The sequence below is a fragment of the Homo sapiens genome, chromosome 14 (genome assembly GCF_000001405.40).
Source record: "Homo sapiens chromosome 14, GRCh38.p14 Primary Assembly".
Classification (NCBI taxonomy): Eukaryota; Metazoa; Chordata; class Mammalia; order Primates; family Hominidae; genus Homo; species Homo sapiens.
Genome location: NC_000014.9, coordinates 105414110 through 105433750, shown reverse-complemented (window position 1 = coordinate 105433750; position 19641 = coordinate 105414110). Strand labels below are relative to the sequence as shown.

At 56.4% G+C, this 19641-nt stretch overlaps 1 protein-coding gene and 1 long non-coding RNA gene across 16 annotated transcripts in view, besides 7 other annotated features; one reads left to right on the top strand and one right to left on the bottom strand.

Moving 5' to 3' along the window:
* The window catches only part of MTA1 (metastasis associated 1), a 50903-nt gene extending 36979 nt beyond the window's left edge, over positions 1-13924 (bottom strand). For 7 of the 14 annotated variants that reach the window (XM_047431904.1, NM_004689.4, NM_001411061.1 and 4 more), the window contains exon 1: positions 13688-13924. In XM_047431904.1, coding sequence (XP_047287860.1) covers positions 13688-13715 — 28 coding nt within the window. In that variant the 5' untranslated portion in view covers positions 13716-13924. Of the gene's footprint in view, positions 1-11592; positions 11804-13687 lie in introns of those variants that run through there. The other 7 variants (XM_011537305.1, XM_011537306.1, XM_011537307.1 and 4 more) reach the window with 1 other exon arrangement.
* Positions 11042-11711: an enhancer, noted in NCBI's record as "H3K27ac-H3K4me1 hESC enhancer chr14:105888377-105889046 (GRCh37/hg19 assembly coordinates)". NCBI's record gives its function as "activates a minimal SCP1, AML or CMV promoter by ChIP-STARR-seq in naive H9 embryonic stem cells {active_cell/tissue: H9 hESC(naive)}" and the evidence as "EXISTENCE:reporter gene assay evidence [ECO:0000049][PMID:30033119]".
* Positions 11712-12379: an enhancer, noted in NCBI's record as "H3K27ac-H3K4me1 hESC enhancer chr14:105887709-105888376 (GRCh37/hg19 assembly coordinates)". NCBI's record gives its function as "activates a minimal SCP1, AML or CMV promoter by ChIP-STARR-seq in naive H9 embryonic stem cells {active_cell/tissue: H9 hESC(naive)}" and the evidence as "EXISTENCE:reporter gene assay evidence [ECO:0000049][PMID:30033119]".
* Positions 13831-14090: a silencer, noted in NCBI's record as "silent region_6237". NCBI's record gives its function as "represses an Ori minimal core promoter by ATAC-STARR-seq in GM12878 lymphoblastoid cells {active_cell/tissue: GM12878}" and the evidence as "EXISTENCE:reporter gene assay evidence [ECO:0000049][PMID:35858748]".
* MTA1-DT (MTA1 divergent transcript) lies at positions 14012-16170 on the top strand. 2 transcript variants are annotated; one of them, NR_125384.1, is made up of 3 exons: positions 14012-14729; positions 14935-15069; positions 15442-16170. It is a non-coding gene; the product is annotated as an MTA1 divergent transcript (long non-coding RNA). The 2 variants fall into 2 exon arrangements; NR_125385.1 differs by lacking the exon at positions 14935-15069.
* Positions 14181-14230: a silencer, noted in NCBI's record as "silent region_6236". NCBI's record gives its function as "represses an Ori minimal core promoter by ATAC-STARR-seq in GM12878 lymphoblastoid cells {active_cell/tissue: GM12878}" and the evidence as "EXISTENCE:reporter gene assay evidence [ECO:0000049][PMID:35858748]".
* Positions 14261-14360: a silencer, noted in NCBI's record as "silent region_6235". NCBI's record gives its function as "represses an Ori minimal core promoter by ATAC-STARR-seq in GM12878 lymphoblastoid cells {active_cell/tissue: GM12878}" and the evidence as "EXISTENCE:reporter gene assay evidence [ECO:0000049][PMID:35858748]".
* Positions 15058-15727: an enhancer, noted in NCBI's record as "H3K4me1 hESC enhancer chr14:105884361-105885030 (GRCh37/hg19 assembly coordinates)". NCBI's record gives its function as "activates a minimal SCP1, AML or CMV promoter by ChIP-STARR-seq in primed H9 embryonic stem cells {active_cell/tissue: H9 hESC(primed)}" and the evidence as "EXISTENCE:reporter gene assay evidence [ECO:0000049][PMID:30033119]".
* Positions 18396-18805: a silencer, noted in NCBI's record as "silent region_6234". NCBI's record gives its function as "represses an Ori minimal core promoter by ATAC-STARR-seq in GM12878 lymphoblastoid cells {active_cell/tissue: GM12878}" and the evidence as "EXISTENCE:reporter gene assay evidence [ECO:0000049][PMID:35858748]".

The window sequence follows — 19641 nt, the reverse complement described above, 5'->3', positions numbered from 1 at the left end:
TCAAATTTAATGTTCTTTATCACCAAAATCAACAACAAAGGTGCATCCATTAGTGCTGGCTTATAGTGAGTTCATGTGTTTCCTCTGTAACTGTCTTTCCACACAGGTACTGCCAGGCACACTGTCAGCCCCAGGTGCGTGGCTCTAAGTGAGCAGCCTCGCTACTCCCTTTCCTGGAAAGGGCCAGCTCAGCAGGCTTGGATTGCCCGCATTCTTCCTTCCAGAGAGGTCTGACCCTTGACCTGCTCCTAGGAGGTCACCTCGGAGCTCTTGGAGCATCCTGCCTGCCAACAGCGTCTGCTCACCCAGGGCCTCAGGCCACCTCAGAGAGGCTACCCTGACAGTGACGTACCGCGGTGCCTTGTGGCATCAGCCTGACCTCTGGAGGGGCTGAGACGGAGGGACCGAGGGCAGCCACACCGGTGCTCAGCCAGGCCCACCTGACCAACCTCTAAAAACACCTGGACCACCAAGGCTCACGGGAGCGTCCCTGCTTGGAAATACGCCAGGCCTGTCATCACAGACCACTGCTAGACCTACACACCGCCCACGTCTCTGCTGGGAGAGACGCCGGAAGCCCACCCCTGGTCTCTCCTGAGCCCGGCCCCTGTGCCGCTTCCCTTTGCTGATTTGAGTCTGCGTCCTTTTGCTGTAATCAACCGTACCCCTGGCAGAAATGCTCTGCTGTATTCCATGAGTCCTAGTGAATTACTGAACCCGAGGGTGGTCTTGGGGCCCCTATATTACAGCACGGGGTTACGCTACAGTCCAATCGCTTTCGACTGAAGCTCAGGCGGGAGCTCCCTAACACACAGCTGAGTGGATTTTGAAATGTCGACGTTTCCCTTGCACTCGCATGGAAGTCGCAGACACTCTGCTGTAACCACAGTGTGAGCCCAGAAAAGCAGCTCACTGCAAATCTGTGTGGCAATGCAGACTTTGCCTCTCATTTTACCTCTTGACAATAAGAAAACTGTACAAAGCAGTTTGTGATTTAAACATGAGCTGTTGCCAAAGTGACTTCATCACAGTATAAATTTTGCAAATAAATGTGGTTGTGCCTCGTAACTTTAAGATGAATTCATAAAGAACGTAGAGAACATCATGCAGCAAAAACTAGTTTCCCAAGTCATCTGGTGTATTGATGATGGCAGTCAACAGTGGTTCTTCTCATTCTGAAATTTTCCAATTTCGGCGCTTTTTCAAAAAGCAGGCCAGACACGGTGGCTCACGCCTGTAATCCCAGCACTTTGGGAGGCCGAGGCAGGTGGATCATGAGGTCAGGAGTTTGAGACCAGCCTGGCCAACATGGTGAAACCTCATCTCCACTAAAAATACAAAAATTAGCCGGGCATGGTGGCATGTGCCTGTAATCCCAGCTACTTGGGAGGCTGAGGCAGGATAATTGCTTGAACCCAGGAGGCAGAGGTTGCGGTGAGCCGAGATCACGCCACTGCACTCCAGCCTGGGTGACAGAGCAAGACTCCGTCTCAAAAATAAATAAATAAATAAAAAATAAAAATAAAAAAGCAATAGAACTTCACCACTGCCAACTCATCAAGCTGCTGCACAGGACAGCAAGTCAAGATGTTCAGCTTTAGGCCAGGCACAGGGGCTCACACCTGAGCCCAGGAAATTGAGGCTGCAGTGGGCCAGGACTGTGCCACTGCTCTCTAGCCTGGGCAATAAAGCAAGACTCTATCTCTTTAAAAAAGGTTTTTTTTTAATTCACAGAACTGATGACATCAAGTCCACAAGGTCAAATGAAGTTCACTGTTGACACTACTGGTTCAATAAGGCATGACAGACTCAAATACTTTCCACAGGCCGGGTGTAGTGCCTCACGCCTGTAATCCCAGCACTTTGGGAGGCTGAGGTGGGCGGATCACCTGAGGTCAGGAGTTTGAGACCAGCCTGCCCAACATGGTGAAACCCCATCTCTACTAAAGATACAAAAAATAGCCAGGTGTGGTGGTGCATGCCTTTAGTCCCAGCTACTTGGGAGGCTGAAGCAGGAGAATCACTCGGGCCCGGGAGGCAGAGGTTGTAGTGAGCCGAGACTGCGCCACTGCACTGCTGCCTGGGCAACAGGGCGAGACTCCACCTCAAAAAGTAAAAATAAAAATAAACAAATACTTTCCACAAAATATTTACCTGCCAACAAGTAATAGAATGAATAACTATAGGCTTTTGGCACTTTGTATGTTTAACAACCCTTGTAAATTTGTCCAACCAAGCCCTTTTCTGTGCCACACATTTCTCGTGTCAGTAGGATCTGTAGTGATGTCCCATCTGTTGTTCCTGATGTTGGTTACTTGTGGCTTCTATTTCTTTGTCAGTCTGGCTATAGATTTCAGTTTATTGGTCTTGTTAATAACCAGCTTGTAGGCTGGGCACAGTGGCTCATGCCTGTAAATCCCAGCAGTTTGGGAGGCCAAGGTGGGTGGATCACCTGAGGTCAGGAGTTTGAGACCAGCCTGGCCAATATGGTGAAACCTGGTCTCTACTAAAAATACAAAAATTAACTGTGCGTGGTGGTGGGCGCCTGTAATCCCAGCTACTCGGGAGGCTGAGGCAGGAGAAGTGAGGACAGTCTTGTGGGACTCAGCCCTTCAGCTGCAGAACCTAATATTCTCTCCAGGTAAGCAGTGTCAAAATTGGGTTAAATCACTGGATAACCGACTGGCTGCTGGTAGGGAGAAACCCCACACACATTCCAGGGACCAGAGGTGAAGTGTTCTGTGTTGAACGTGTGAGACTGGGAAAAAGTTAAGTTTTTCCTGTCCCTATCACAAATATTCAACCCCACCACGGTAGCTCAAAGCAGCCACATAATAACTGGAATCCCTCCCATTAGTGCGGCCGTGTTCCCATAACACTTTATTTCTGAGCACTGAAATGTGAATTTCATATAATCTTCATGTGTCATGAAGTTTTCTGCCTTTGATTTTTTTCTCAACAATTAAAAAATGTAAAACCCATTCTTAGCTCGTGAGTCATCAAAAACAGGCAGCGGGCCAGTTTGCCAATCCCTGTACGAGAGGACCCAAGATTGGTTTAGATGCCAATTATTTCCCAAACATCTACACGGGCATCATGCTTAGCTTGATGATGCTTTGCAGGTATTGTGTTTCTTACAAATTGAAGGTTTGTGGCAACGTGCATCAAGTCAAGTCCATCGGTGCCATTTTTCCAACAGCAGGTGCTCACTACGTGTTGCTGTCACGTTTTGGTAATTCTCTCAACATTTCCAACTTTTTAACCATGATTCTATCTGTGATGGCGATCTGTGGTCATTGCTCCTCGATGCTACTATTGTAATTGTTTTGGGCATCATGAGCCATACCCCAACTAAGAACTTAATTGATAAATGTGTGTGTTCCGACTGCCCCAGGAACTGGCCATTCCTCCATTTCTCTCCCTCTCCTGGGGCCTCTCTATTCCCTGAGACACAACAATACTGAAATTGGGCCAACTAGCAACCCTGCCATGGCCTCTAAGTAGTCCAGTGAAGGGAAGAGTTGAGGGTCACACATCTCTCACTTTAAAACAAAAGCTGGAAATAAATGACTAAGCTTAGTTAGGAAGGCCTGTCGAAAGCCAAGATACCCTAACGGAAAGCCTGGTCTTCAGCGCCAAGCAGGTAGCCCAGTTGTGAATGCAGAGGAAAAGTTCCTGAAAGAAACTAAAAGTGGGTCGGGCGCAGTGGCTCACACCTGTATTCCCAGCACTTTGGGAGGCCAAAGCAGGTGGATCACTTGAGGTCAGGAGTTTGAGACCAGCCTGGCCAACATGGTGAAACCCCATCTCTACTAAAAATAAAAAAATTAGCCAGGCATGGTGGTGTGTGCCTGTAATCCCAGCTACTCGGGAGGCTGAGGTGGGAGAATCACTTGAACCCGAGAGCTGGAGGTGGCAGTGAGCCAAGATCGCACCACTGCACTCCAGCCTGAATGACAGAGCGAGACTTGGTCACCAAAAAAAAAAAAAAAAAAAAAGGCCGGGCGCAGTGGCTCACGTCTGTAATCCCAGCACTTCGGGAGGCTGAGGCAGGTGGATCACAAGGTCAGGAGATTGAGGCCATCCTGGCTAACATGGTGAAACCCCGTCTCTACTAAAAAAATACAAAAAATTAGCCGGGCATAGTGGCGGGCACCTGTAGTCCCAGCTACTCGGGAGGCTGAGGCAAGAGAATGGCGTGAACCTGGGAGGCGGAGCTTGCAGTGAGCCGAGATCGTGCCACTGCACTCCAGCCTGGGTGACAGAGGGAGACTCTGTCTCAAAAAAAAAAAAAAAAATTAGCCGGGTGTGGTGGTGGGTGCCTGTAGTCCCAGCCACTTGGGAGGCTGAGGCAGGAGAATCGCTTGAACCCGGGAGGCGGAGGTTGCAGCGAGCCGAGATCGTGCCACCGCACTCCAGCCTGGGCGACAGAGCAAGACTTCATCTCCAAAAAACAAAAAGTGCTGCTCCAGTGAACACAAGCCTGATAAGACAGCTGAACGGCCTTAGTACTGATAGAGAGAAAGCTGAAGTGCCGGGATGGGAAATCAAAGCGGACACATTCCCCGAAGCCAGAGCCCCAGCCTGAGCGAGGCCCTAACTCCCTTCAGTTCTACGAAGGCTGAGGGAGGTGAGGAGGCTGCAGAAGAAAAATCTGAAGCTAGCAGAAGTTGGCCCATGAAGTTCAAGGAAAGAAGCCATTTCTACCACATAAAAGTGCAAGGTGAGGCTGGGCACAATGGCTCATGCCTGTAATCCCAGCATTTTGGGAGTCAAGGCAGGAGGATCACTTGAGGCCAGGGGTTTGAGACTAGTGTGGGCAACATAGTGAGACCCCATCTCTACAAAAATAAATAAAACTAGCCAGGCATGGTGGCGTATGCCTGTAGTCCTAGCTACTCGGGAGGCTGAAGTGGGGAGGATCACTTGAGCCCAAGAGACTGAGGCTACATACAGTGAGCCAAGATCATACCACTGCACTCCAGCCTGGGCAACAGAGCAAGATGTTGTCTCAAAAAAAGAAAAAAAAAAAAGAAACACTTCTTTTTGGTTTCTGTAGAAATTAACAAGCCAATTCTAAACTCTGTAAGGGAAAGCCAAGTAACCAGAACAGGCTAAACAATTTTGAAAATGAGGAACAAAGTTCAAGGATTCCTACTACTTGATTTCAAGAATTACTATAAGGCTGGGCATGGTGGCTCACTCCTGTTACCTCAGCACTATGGGAGTCCGAAGTGGGAGGATCGCTTGAGCCCAGGAGTTCGAGACCAGCCTAGACAACATAACGAAAAACTTAGCTGGGTGTGGTGGTGCACACCTGTGGTCCCGGCTGTTCAGGAGGCTGAGGTGGAAGGATCACTTGAGCCTGGGAGGTGGAGGCTGCAGTGAGTCATGGCTGTACCACTGCACTCCAACCTGGGTGACAGACTGAGACCTTATCTCAAAAAAAAAGAAAGACGCCAGACTCAAAAGCCCACATGCTGTGCAATTCCACTTCTACCACATTCTGGACAAGGCAAAACGGCAGGAACAGAAAATAGGTCAGTGTTGCTGGGAGCTGGGGGAGAAGAGGGGGCTGACTACAGAAGGTCACAAGAGAAGCATGTCAGGTGTGGAAGAGCTGCAGCGACCACACAGCTGTGCATGAGTGGAAAACCACAGGCCCCTACACATAAGTGGGTTTGCCATGTGAAACGTGTATCTCAATAAACCTAACTTTTTTTTTTTTTTTTTTTGAGAGAGTCTCACTCTGTTGCCCAGGCTGGGGTACAGTGGTGCGATCTCCACTCACTGCAACCTCTGCGTCCTGCACGCAAGTGATTCTCATGCCTCGGCCTCCCAAGTAGCTAGGATTACAGGCACGCACCACCACGCCTGGCTTTTTTTGTATTTTTAGTAGAGATGGGGTTTTGCTGTGTGGTCAGGTTGGTCTCAAACTCCTGAGCTCAAGTGATCTGCCCACCTCAGCCTCCCAAAGTGTTGGGATTACAGGTGTGAGCCACCATGCCCGGCCTAAACCTTACTTTAAGTTAAAAAAATATACACGCACCCAGAGTCAATTCTCATTGTTTGCAGTAATTACGTTCCATAAAGTCACCACTAATACTGAACACCGTACCTCTGTTCCTACAGGAAATACAGGGTCAGGTTCCTACGAGCCTCTGGTCACAACATTTTCAGCAACCAATCAATACGCAACAGCCTTATTTTACGTTTCTGTCAAAGAACTTTATAATTATTATTGTTCTCCGACACTGAACTCACGTGGGGCAGAGCCTGTCCAACACACGTTCTCTCCATGGGACCCATCCCAGCCTGCCTGTGTCCAGGGACACTCAACAGCACTGCGGCACCTCCCCCAGGGGCATCTAAAAAGCAAAATCACCAAGAGCCCCCAAATGCAAGAAGCATGGCCCTCAGTAGATGGAGAAAGGACAATTTGCTTCCAACATGGGAGCAGTGGCAGAGGGCAGGGTGCCTCGCTCACCCCAGCAGGCACCCAAGCACCACGCAACTTGGGCTTTTAGCAGCCTGTGCGTGCCCGCAAATGACTGGGAAAGTGACATAAGTGTGAATTTTGGGGTTACACGTAAGTTTTAACAAATAGGGGATGGGGCCACAGAAGAATTGGGGGAGAACAGACACAACCCCCAAGATCATTGAGCAACAAGAGCTGTGCGGCAGGGCGGTGCCCGTGGTCCCTGCCTGTCCGGGACCCTCCAGGGCACAGCCCACTCTCCTGAGCTCACCCACAGCCAGGTCTGCCATGGTCAGAGACAGGAGACCAGGGAGCACAGAGAGGAACTTTGTCTTTTCCCTTTTGGGAACAGAGTCAAGAGAAACAGCAACAGTGGTCAGGAAAGCCCCCAGCACCCCTGCTCCAGGAGCCGGGTCTCCATGTGACAACGTCCCAAATGCTGCAGGGGTGTCCTGTATTTTTATCTGCAAAACCTGGGCACTGCTGCAAGCCTCGCGCCCGGCCCATCCTTGGGGTCATCCTCCTCCGTTGCTGTCCCCACAAAGTCCAAGAAGGATCGGAGACCAGAGCCCCAGCATCCGAGGTGCATCCGGCAGTCAAGGGATGGGGACAGCGGCCCCCAGGGGATGCAGACAGACGTTCCCTCATGCAAGTGGCCAGATGGCCCAGGCACTGTGTCTCCTGGAGGAATGGGACAGAACACGCCCCTCCCTCAGAACTGCCCTAGCCCAGCCCAGAGAACGCCACACCTCAGGGCCAGCCCCCACGTGCGCTGCGCCCTTGCTGTCCTCTGAAGGCAGGGGATGAGCCAGGGCAGAATCAGGTGTGCCCCATACCTGACTCCACCGCTGACCAACTGCACAGGCCTTGAGGCTCTTTTTTTTTTTTTTTTTTTTTGTGAGACGAAGTCTCGCTCTGTCACCCAGGCTGGAGTGCAGTGGCGTGATCTCGGCTCACTGCAACATCCATGGGCTCATTTTTAAGGTATGCTTGGTACCAGGAGCCGCTGCCGCTGCCCTGGTTTCCTCCCCTGTGACGACGCTGCTGTGAGGACAGCCTGGCAGGGCACGGACGGGAAGGGACGCGTGGTCCCCTCCATGCCCCAGGGGTCCCCCAACCGCACAGATCTGCAGACCCTCCTCCTAATGGCACCCACAGAGCTCAGGCCCTGACCGTGAAAGGGCTCTGGGGGCAGGCGGGCACTCGAGCTCCTCAGGCCACCGGGCAGAGAAAGCAGCAAAGCCCACGCCAGGCCGGATCACGGGGCTGCAGTGCTGAGGCCCGCCCCAGGGAGGCTGCCGGGCGGCTCTGAGGAGCGGTCACCTCAGACCCCTCAGGTGCGCTGCATGGCCCAGGCGGGAGCAGCCTAGAGGGTGGTGCAAAGCCCATAGAAGCAAGCCTTGGGGCCTGGGCTCGGGGGTGCCGGGGGCACATTGGTGGGGCGGGTGGGGTATAGGGGCGAGGTGCTGGGTGGCCTTGCACTATGAGGGTGGCCCCAGCCTCCCTGGGCTTGGCTCCATCGCCACCAAGATCCCCCAGTCCGCACACTCAGACATGAGCCCACCGGGACAGGAATGGAGCAGGCCAGCTGGGGTGGGGGTGGGGGTGGAGACACCAGCAACACGAGAGCCCCAGAAAGCAGTGAGCCCAGGTAGCACACGAGGAAAGACATTTGGAGAATATTAAATGCTCTGCCGGGCATGGTAGTTCACAGCCTTGCAAACCCAGCGGCACTTTGGGAGCCCAAGGCAAGAGGATCGCTTGAGGACGGGAGTTCGAGACCAGCCTGGGCAACATAGTGAGACTCCGCCTCTATAAAAAATCTTAAAATTAGCTGGGTATGGTGGTGTGCACCTGTGGTCTCAGCTACTCAGGAAGCTGAGATGGGAGGATCGCCTGAGCCTGTGGGGTGGAGGCTGCAGTAGCTGTGATGGTGCCACTGCACTCCAGCCTGGGCAACAGGAGACCCTGTCTCAAAAAAAACATAATTACATGCTCCCAAGACAGCCTGCTGGAGTCTAAGGTAGGGTCTAAGCTGCCCCCCAACCAGGTCTCAGGGTGGGCTCCTCCTGGGGAAGGGGGGCCACCCTCCCTAGCAGGACTCAGCCCATAATCTGGCAAGAGCACTCCAAGTTCAGCAGGAGGAGGAAGGAGGCCCTGCAGCCAGTGCTCCCCCAAGCCGCCTCCCGGGTACCTGGCCAGGCACACGGCACCTCCTCTGGCATCCCAGCCTCACCTGCTGACCAGCGTCCAGATGCGCAGCTGGGGACCCACCTCTAGGTAGGATGCCTGCAGGGCCACTGCAGCAGTTTTGACACCCAGAACCCACACACACGGGCGGGAACGGCACTGCCAGGGCGGGTCGGGCGCGAGGGATGTGCTTCATTGGACCATATATTCCAACATCTCTCACTGACAGCTACTTTTTTATTATTCTGAGAGCTTAACGATCAAATTCTCCACTCAGAACAATATGGGGCCAGGCACCGTGGCTCACGCCTGTAATCCCAGCACTTTGGGAGGCCGAGGCGGGTGGATCACTTGAGGTCAGGAGTTCGAGACCAGCCTGGCCTAGATGGTGAAACCCTGTCTCTACTAAAAACACAAAAACTAGCCAGGTGTGGTGGTGCACACCTGTAATCCCAGCTACTCAGGGGGCTGAGGCAGGCAAATCACTAGAACCCAGGAGGCGGAGGTTGCAGTGAGCCGCGATTGTGCCACTGCACTCCAGCCTGGGTGACAGAGTGAGACTGTCTCAAAAACAAAAAAAAAAGCCAGACGCAGTGGCTCACGCCTGTAATCCCAATACTTTGAGAGGCTGAGGCGGGTGGGTCACAAGGTCAGGAGATCGAGACCATACTGGCTAACACAGTGAAACCCCGTCTCTACAAAAAAAAAAAAATTACAAAACATTAGCCAGGCATGGTGGCGGGCGCCTGTAGTCCCAGCTACTTGGGAGGCTGAGGCAGGAGAATGGTGTGAACCCGGGAGGCGGACTTGCAGTGAGCCCAGATTGCGCTACTGCACTCCAGCCTGGGGGACAGAGCGAGACTCCGTCTCAAAAAAACAAAGGTGGAGCAAGCCAGGAGTGCTCAGTGGCTGAGGCAGGAGAAGCTCAGTGGCCCATCCTGCCTGGAGAGTGAGCCAGGGCTGCCAATGGCGCAGTGCTGAGGCCGATCCTCACAGGCCAAGTGGGACAGCCCCATGCCATCCCCTCCAGGACATCACACCTGGGCCCCTGCCACTTCTACCACTCCCGCTCCTGGTGCTCACAGGACGGCCGTGTCTCCAGGGCTCTTCCCTGCCTTCTTGGAAAAGATGGGTGGGACCCCAAAAGTCGGCCCATGGAGCAGCAAGTGCCTAGGGACACGGTGCACTCAGCACTCCAGGGTAGGGCGGCGCTGGCTGCAGCCCTCTACAAATCTGACATTTTTTTTAAGTTTACTTTTTTCCCCACTGGCAAGTATATAGAGCAATAAAGTTTAAACTTCAAAAAAACACTAGAATAAAAATACAAAAGCAACATTTCTAACAGCGCGCCAGAGCGCAGATGATGGCACATGCCAAGCCCAGTGAAGACCAGCAGCACGGACAGGGTGCTTCCGCCCAGGCTGCGCCAGAGACCGGGGCAGAGCCCGCGGCCCTGCAGGGGCAGGGGCTTTCTGGCATCCTTTCAAACTACATTAAAATTTTTTTTTTTTGATACGGAGTCTCACTCTGTCACCCAGCCTCAACTTTTATTAAAATTAAAACAAAAAGGCCGGGCATGAGCTCACGCCTGTAATCCCAGCACTTTCGGAGGCCGAAGCGGGTGGATCACTTGAGGTCAGGAGTTCCAGACCAGCCTGACCAACATGGAGAAACGCCGTCTCTACTAAAAATGTAAAACTTAACCAGGCCTGGTGGCGCCTGGCTAGTCCCAGCTACTTGGGAGGCTGAGGCAGGAAATCGCTTGGGCCGGGGAGGCGGAGGTTGCAGTGAGCCGAAATCGCGCCTCTGCACTCCAGCTTGGGCCACAGAGCAAGACTCCATCTCAAAAAAAAAAAAAAAAAAAAAATTAAACAAAAAAAATCCAAAAGATGGGGTGTTAACCTCTTGCAATGAAAAACAGAAACACCCAAGGCAAAATGGTAATGGCCTGTCCACTGAAAAGCAGAAGCCCCACATGAGCAAGCTGCAGGCGGCTGGCAGGCACCGATTCCTGCTGTCCTGTTTTGGATGCTATCTAACATCTTCATGTTCAACCCAGAGAAGAAACATCCCGCCGTTGCCCTGGGGCCCTCTCATCCCACAGCAGGTTTCAAGCCTTCCCCAGCCCTCGGGATGGACAACCCTTGAGAAGCAGAGGTCAGGGAACCCTGACCCCGCCACCCTTGCCCAGGCCATCCGCTGCCCTCACAGGCACAGACAGAAGGCCTCTGTCCGTGGCCAGGGCACTCCATGGGGAAGAAACAGGCCCTGTTCCCTCCCTGCTCACCACTTCACCCAGCTCAGCTGGCACAAAAATACTGCCACCACACCTTCACCCTGCCTAGCCCAACCTGGCAGGGCCTCGGAGTAGCCTGCCAGCTAAAATACGGGTTGCCCAGATAACTGTGAATGTCAGATAAGAATCTTCTGGGACAAGTATGTCCCATGCCATATTTGGGACATACTTACACTAATAAATTTCTGTTTATCTGAAACTCAAATTTGCCTGGGCGTCCTGTACTTTTCTTAACTAAATTTGGTGCCTCTACACACAAGGTCCCTGGGGTGGGGGGGCACAGGAGCAAGCCCCTTCCCAGGCTGGGTCCCTGCCGGCATCTCCCACAGGCCAGGACTGGCCACCCAGATGGAGCCCGTGCCAGGCAGCCGGCGACAGACGGACAAAGGCTGCTCAGGAGACACTGCACACCTTCCTCTTTCTTGTCTGGGGGCTCAAGAATCCAGACGCCCACCTCCCCGAGCGAGCACCAAGACAGGAAGCCAACCTGCAATGCCCAGCCCACTGCGACCACAGGGCTCTGCCGGGGTCCTGCCGGAACCCAGGGTTCCGGTCCAGAAGCCAGGGATAAATGCCGCTTCTCCTATAGGGACAGTCAGAGTAGAGAGGGGGAGGCCTACAGTCTCACCTGCAGGGAGAGGAAGTCCTCGGGGCGGGCACGTGGGGGGCCTGACAGCTCCGAGCACACCCGGCCACAGTGACCACGGACTGCACACGCAGAAGCAGTCTGGATCCCACGCGTGGCTGTGCTGCCAGCAGACAGCACCCAACCTCCCATGCTCCTCATCACAGGAAAAGAGACCAGCAGCATCTCTGCCAGGCATGGTGGGGCCCCTCCGCCACAGCCTAGGAGTCCAGGCCACCCACCCTCACAGCACTGGAGTGCGTGGGTCAGTGAGGCCCTGGGACGGGCCTGCGGGCACAGGGGGACAGAGGGTTCGGGGAGGGCGGCGCAGCCCCACGAAGGGCTCCTCCCAAGCCTGTGTGGGGCCCAGGGGAGCTGCACCTCCGGGATGGGACAAGGCAGGGTCCTGGCTTTCATCAGCCACAGCACAGCTGCCACAGGGCACAAAAGGACGGCTGAGAGACGAGGTCCTCACCCACACCATGGGGAAACCGAGGCATGGGAAGGTTGGAGGGGGGGCAGCCAGGCTGGCGCCAAGATCACAGGCAGGCAGGCCTGAAGGCCGAGCAATGCAGCCACTAGGAAGGCATGAGTTGGGGTCGGGGTGTCCCCAGCCCTAGAGCCCAAAGCTGCCACCACTCCCCACCCCCAACATGGGTGGGGGCAGGGAGAGCTCTTCTTGGGACCAATCCCAAAACCATGCGCAGTGGGCCCGGCTGGAGCCCAGGCAGCAGGCATCCTCTCTGCCAGGGTGAGAAACTGGGCCCTCATGTCAGGCTGGAAGGGGGGTCTCCAGGTGGGGAGAAAGAACAGGAAGGAACAGGCCCCTCCCTCGAGGGACCCCGCACCCAGGCTGCTCCCTGAGCGTGGGGTGGGCTCAGCGCACCTGGGTCCACACAGGGACCTGGCAAAGCTGTATGAGGCTGTGGGAGGGGCTGCCGCTGGATGGGGTACAGGCCCACCGCCCCTCTGAGAGGACAGGGGAGGCCCAGAGCTGCTGATGCGGACTGACCGCCCATCTCACAGACGGGATGTAGGGGGCTCCCACCGTCCCCAAGGTCACAGGACTGGCCGGCCAGACCACACGGCGTCCAAGGCAGCAGAAGCCACGCTCGAGAGACACAGAGTGTTCTGGGCACTCGGGGTCAGGGGCATGGGGATCAAGCCAGAGCGGGAGTGACCCCAGCTCCCTCCAGCAGCGCAGGCTGCAGGTGGGAAAGGTAATGAGCACCTGCCCGAGAGGGTCACAGGCAGGGAGGGGTCTCAGAGTCCTGGGGAGGGAGGCGCTGATGGAATGATGGAATGCACACGACCCCCCACCTTCCTGTGAAAGACCCCACGGAGTCCCAGGCACACGAAGGAGGGCAAGGCTCAAAGCTGCAGGCCCGGGGGGCCCGAGCAACAGGAGGCTGGGCCCACGGAGGAAGCCCCTGCCCAGGAGGCCCTCCGGCCTCTCCCCAACCCTTGCAAAGCGCCTCCCGAATGGGCTGAGGTGAGCGAGAGGCAGGGAAAAGTTTGGGGGGACTTAGAGGCGTGCTCGGGATGCTCGCTCCCTGCTGAAGACCCCCTGAGGGATCCCTGCTGGGGGAAGCCCCGGGGCCAGGCTGCAGGAGGGCTCTAGGGAGGAACGTGGCCCCTCACCGGGGCTCCCCATCCCCAGAGGGGATGCACCGGAGTCCCAGCACAGGGCCGCGGGCCGGGGGAGACCCCACAGCCCCAAAACTCCTGCTCCCAGACCGGCAGCCGGCGCCTCCCAAGGCCACGTGCTCCCGCTGGGGGCTCCCGGCCCCGGACCCCCGGATGTCCCGCAGGCCCCGCGCCCCCCCGCCACCCCCGCGGCCGCCCCCTCGGCCCCAACAGGTGGGCCGCCCCCCACCCCCGGGCCGCCGAGCCCCGCCCGCCCCCGATGGGGCCGACCCGCGGGGCCATTTTGGGTTGGGGTGAGCACGGCGGGGGGCGGTTCGGGAAGGAGCCGGGGGCCGCGAGGGCGGGCGGGGGGCGCGGGGCCTGCGGGGCAGAGGGGCGGGGGAGGCGGCAGCGGCGGCGGGTGGGGGCTGCGGGCGGGTCGGGGCCGGGCATAAAGGCGGTGCGGCCTTACCTCCGACCCTGTACATGTTGGCGGCCATGTCCGGGCCGGCGGCGGCGGAGGGGCCCGGGGCGGGCGCGGCGCTCGGCGCGGGCGGCCGGGAAAATGGAGGCGCGATGGCGGGGGCGGGGGGCGCCGCAGGCGTTTAAAGGGGCCGCGCTGCTGCCGCCGCCGCCGCCGCCGCCGCCGCCGAGGCCGCCGAGGCCGCGCAGGGACGGGAGGGCCGCGGCGCGGGCGGGAGAGGAAGAGGAGGAGCGGCCGCGGGCGGCGGGGAGGGGCCTCGGGCGCCGCCGCCCACCGCACGGGCCGTTACCGACCCCGCGCCGCCCGCGGCCCGCGCGCCCCTTCCCGGACAGTTCCTCTCGGCGCCCCCGAGTCCTCCCCGCGCGCCGCTTCCCGGGTGGGCCCTTCCACCAGAACCCCCTGGTAGATCCTCCCCTGGTGCCCTGGGGGTAGAGGGGAGATCCTCCACAAGGGCCATTTCCCTGGTGATCCCTCCCTGTGCCCCACAGGTGAGTCCTGCCGTAGCTCTCCAGGGGTTCCTCCTGATGCTGGGGTCCTCCGGCATTCCTCCCTGAGCCCCCCAAGGGCCCTGAAGCTCAGCGGCCCAGCCCTGGCCTCGGGGTCCCCACCCCACACCTCCCTTCCAGGCCTAACCTTTGCCCCCGACACCAGGCAGGGCGTGTCCTTGGCCTTCGCCGCCCAGCCCGCGTGGCATCTCTGGACAGGTGGTCGTGCGCGCCTTGGTGTGGGCAGGCTCCGTAGCCGGCAAAGCCTCCCTGAACCGTGACCTGGTGAGAAGGCCGCAGAGGAGGTGCCTGTGCCCAGAGGCCACCTCCAAAGACCCCACCTGAGGCTGGAACCCAGCGCCTGCTGACCCCGCCAGCCCCAACAGGGCTGGAGTCCAGGAGCGGCCGTGCTCTTTCCGCAGTGAGGCAGCTGCCTTCTCTTCCCACCACCTGTCAGGATGCCTTCCCGTGTGTGCTTGTGCACAGGTCTAAGGAGAGGAGAGTCCAGTGAGTGACCCAGACGCCCCAGCCAGGAAGAGCATGAGGTGCGAAGGGGGCTTCCCAGATGGAGAGAAACAGATGGTCCCAGAGTGGCTTGGAGACAGGTGCAACATCAGTGTTGGGGGAGGTGAGCAAAAGGAGCTGTCTCGGGGTTCCAGGCTGCTGATGTGAGCAGCACCGTGGGTCTCTGTCCTGCCTGCTCAGATGCTGGAGGGAGCTGACATCTACTTGGGACATCCCTCTCTGTAGGACATGGAGCGGAGCGTTCAGGGCTATCAGGAGGGAGCCCCGTGGCCACGGTGCAAGATCTAGGCAGGCGGGACAGACATGGTCAGGATGCTGGGGACACAGCATGGGGAATCCAGCACACAGGACACCATCCAGGTGGGTAGGAAACAGCATGTGCTGGGAGGAAAGCCAGGTGGGGGTCCCAAGGAGAGCGGTGGCCACAATGTCATGGCTGCAGAGCAGACCAGTAAGGAAAGCCCCACCAGGGTTAGCACAGGGCCAGGAACCCGAGCTGCAGGGCGGTGCTGTCTCTGGGGAGAGAGGGCTATGGGTCCCAGGACACATCCTGCGGGCTGGGCTGCAGGGAACAGGAGCTGGCTTGCTGGTGATTGGGAGGGAAGAGCAGCCAGCCAGCGGCCAGGTGCAGGAGAGGGGCAATGACAGACAGGCAGCGTCTCTCCAGAAGGAAGGTGGGGCTGCTGGCCTCCCCTGTCCTACAGCCCCAGCCTACCTCTGTCTCCTCAGCAGGAAAGCAAAGCTGCAGCCTGAGATCTCCTTCCACCAACTCCTGGCATGGCCAGAAAGTTAGCCAGAAACACCAGAAAGTGCCAGGCAGCTAGGAAGCATGGGGAGAGCCCCCTGAAGCTGCGTGTGTAGTGCCTGCTTCCGCTGCCATCCCAGAAATGGACGAGCTTCACCCTGAGAACCCAGCCACACCACTGGGACACATCCTGACAGTGACATGCACACTCTTCCCTGGCCCCAGCCTGGAGAGGAGCCTCCTGAAGACACCAGCCTTTGCTCCTTCTCCCAGTGGGAGTGGAGAGAACTGACTGCTGGAGTGGAGACAGTCAAGGCTGTCCTTCTGAGGGAGCACAGCACAGGGTCTGGTGTCCCAGGGAGGCAATCTGAAATTCAAGCCAGGCCTCCCCAGCGGAGAGGACACACCCCTCACCATGCAGAGTGACGTTTAGTAAACTCTCAAAAGAGAGCACAGAGCCCCACTCCTCCAGCCGACCCATACTCTGCCTCCCCACTCCAGACCAGTGAACAAGGTGGATTGCCCTTAAGCCAGCTCAGAGGCAAAGTCCAAAGACCTCAGGTGAGTCAAACAATAAAAACAAAGAATTAAGAAGAATCCAGCTGGGTGCGGTGGCTCACGCCTGTAATCCCAGCACTTTGGGAGGCTGAGGCGGGAGGATCACGAGCAGGAGGTCGAGACCATCCTGGCTAACACGGTGAAACCCCGTCTCTACTAAAAATAGAAAAAATTAGCTGGGCGTGGTGGCGGGCGCCTGTAGTCCCAGCTACTCCGGAGGCTGAGGCAGAAGAATGGCGTGAACCCAGGAAGCGGAGCTTGCAGTGAGCCGAGATCATGCCACTGCACTCCAGCCTGGGCGACAGAGCGAGACTCCGTCTCCAAAAAAAAAAAAAAAAAAAAAATCCATCCACTCCATCCACTTAGTAGCAGAGCGAATAGACATTCAGGAAAGAGCTTTCACGTCAGAAAGCACTACAGAAGTAGTGGCATATCCCCGGAGGCTGAGGTGGGAGCATTGCTGAGAGGTGGCACGTGACCACATCCATGTCATTCAACAACAGAAAAACAAGTCATCGAGGGTGTGAGGGGCCGGTGAGAAACCCAGTATGGAAGAAAACACAACTGGGCTGAGCGTGGTGGCTCACGCCTGTAATCCCAGCACTTTGGGAGGCCAAGGCAGGAGGATCACCTGAGGTCAGGAGTTCGAGACCAGCCTGGTCAACATAGTGAAACCTCATCTCTACTAAAAATACAAAAAAATTAACTGGGTGTGGTAGCGCGTGCCTGTAGTCCCAGCTACTCCGGAGGCTGAGGCAGGAGAATTGCATGAACCCAGGAGCCGAGACCACACCACTGCACTCCAGCCTGGGGGCGGCACAGTGAGACTCCGTCTCAAAGAAACAAAAATAAAAAATAAATAAATAAATAAATAAATAAATAAGAAAACGCAACCAAAGAAACAGAAGAGGACTCCACAGGACTTCTTTCAGAGCTTCATAGCAGCATGAATTCAACAATCAGGAATTCAAATGCTTGACGACAAAACAGCAGGATGGGAGGAAGAGTTAAGAGCCAAGCAAACCGGAAGCACCAAAATCGCACCGTGGCTGGATCAAGTCATAAACAGCAAAGGGCAGAATATCAAGTTACTTGGAGATGAAAGGCTTGAGATAATTTCAGAGCAAGACAAAGTGATTAACACAATAATTTACTCATTGATTATTTGTTAAACATCTACTTCAAGCTACAGGCCACTCTAGGCCTTGGAGGGTAAGGAAACAGCACCTTTGCCCTCAGAGGGTTTGCAATCTAGCAGGGAGGGGAACATAATAAAGTGTATAAAACCAGGGCTCTGGCTCTGAAGTTCCAGCACTTTGGGCAGGTCACTTGAACCCAGGAGTTTGAGACCAGCCTGGGCAACATAGTGAAAACCCATCTCTACTGAAAAATATAAAAATTAGCGGGGCGTGGTGGTGCATGCCTGTAGTCCCTGCTACTTGAGAGGCTGAGGCAGGAGGATAGCTTAGGCCTGAGAGGCATAGTTCGCAGTGAGCCGAGATAGCACCTCTGCACTGCGGCGTGGGTGGCAGAGCAAGACCCTGTCTAACAACAACAACAAAAACTGATCTTAAGTCCAGCCAGTAAAGATGTAAATCAAAACAAAGACTTTCAGTGGGTCAAATACTGGCGGTGAGCCTTGATCTTCTGGTAAGAAATGCCCTGCCAGGGGATATGGAAATGTCAGTGCCAGTTCCTCACCATTCACAGGCAGAAGTCAGCCGGTGCCGCCTCAGCCGAACCGTGCTTTGCTGCTGTAAACCAAACACACTCATCTCTTGATGTTTTTGTAATTTCTAAAAATAATCGTAGAAGACTTTTTTTTTTTTTTTTTTGGAGACAGGGTCTCACTCTGTCACCCAGGCTCAAGTGCAGTGGGCCTATCTCGGCTCACTGCAGCCTCGACTTCCTGAGCTCAAGCGATCCTCCCACCTCAGCCTCCCAAGTAGCTGGGACTACAGGAGAGCACCACCACGCCCGGCTGATTTTTGTATCTTCAGTATGGATGGAGCTTCCCTTTGTTGCCCAGGCTGTTCTCCAACTCCTGAGCTCAAGCGATCTGCCTGCCTTGGCTTCCCAAAGTGCCGGGATTACAGGCCTGAGCCACGGCGCCCGGCCATCGTAAGGAGACTTTTAAACTTGAGGTGAAGAAGCATTCATCTGCTTTTAGCAATTTTTTTCTTTAAATATTTAAAAGTCTATAAGTAGCAACTCGACACGTATTTCTGTATTTCCATTACATCCTTTTATCTCCCCATATACATTTAGAAATATCTGGGATAACCTTTAGGTAATGTTAACAGCTGTTATTCCAGGGAGGACACTGGGCGCGTTTTTAAAGCTGTATTCGTTGCTGTATTAATAGCAAGCGGTGTTTCTGCAAAGCCAAGGAAGGCGTTTCTCCAGCGGGGCCGCGTCGGGCATTGTCTGGTGCGCCGGGGAAGGCCGCGAACTACATCTCCCAGGCGCCCCGCGCCCCGTTCCGCGCCCCGCGCCCCCGCCCGCGCGGCTCCTGCTGTGGTGCCGGAGCGTCCTCGGCTCGGTCCGGAGCCAGCCGGAGTCACAATTCGAATCGGGCGTGGGAAGCCCGGGGGACCACGCGGCCAACCCTGGGCGGACCTGCGCGCCGGAGACCGCGTCCCCGGGAGCCCCCAAACGCTACCCCGCGCGGCCGCCCGTGGCGCTGCGGAGGCCTGCGGGTGGGGAGGCGCAGTGGCGGCCGGGGCGACGGCCTAAGCACCACACTACTGCTGCGAGACTTCGGGGGATCCCCACTCCCCTCCCAGGATCCTTCCCACTCCCCTCCCAGGATCCTTCCCACTCCCCTCCCAGGATCCTTCCCACTCCCCTCCCAGGATCCTTCCCACTCCCCTCCCAGGATCCTTCCCACTCCCGAGACTGCTTCTTCTGTCCCCTTGATTCCACGCGCCTCAGAGACCCTCCCTCTGCCGTCCCGCGAAGAGCGCGCCCCTCCCCTTGCAAGGTGGGCTTCACATGCGCTCCCGCCGCACGCACCCTCCTCTGCCCCCGGGTTTCCTGCCGGGCCCTCATGGTTTGGGGCTGCCCATGCATTGCGGGATCCTGAGCAGCACAGCGCCGCCGCCTCTGCCCACCAGGTGCCGGCAGCCCCTGTGGAAGGCAGAATGCCCCTCTCACAGATACTTGTGTACAAATCCCCAGAACCTTGGAGCAGGCTGGGTTAACTGGGTTAAGTGGCAGGTTAGGAAGGGGGCTAACCAGTTCACCCGAAAGCAGGCAGGCGACCCTGGATCTTCCGGGTGGGCCCAGCGTAGCCACAAGTGTGTTTCAGGGTGCAGGAGGGAGGCAATGGAGAGGTGGGCAGAGAAGGGCAGGGCAGAGAGGGGCTCGGCCGCTCCGAAGGAGGCCACAACTACCAGCCAAGGAATGCAGGTGGCTTCTTGAGGCTAGAAAAAGGGAAACAGGGTCTCCCCTGGCACCTCCAGAAGGAACAGAACTCTGCCAACCCCTCATTCTGAGCCCAAAGATACCCATTTTGAACTTCTACAAAACTTAGCTAATACATTTGTGTTGTTTTAAAACACTCAAAGCCAGGCACCAGTGGAACACTCATGTAACCCCAGCTACTCAGGAGGCCGAGGCAAGAGGAT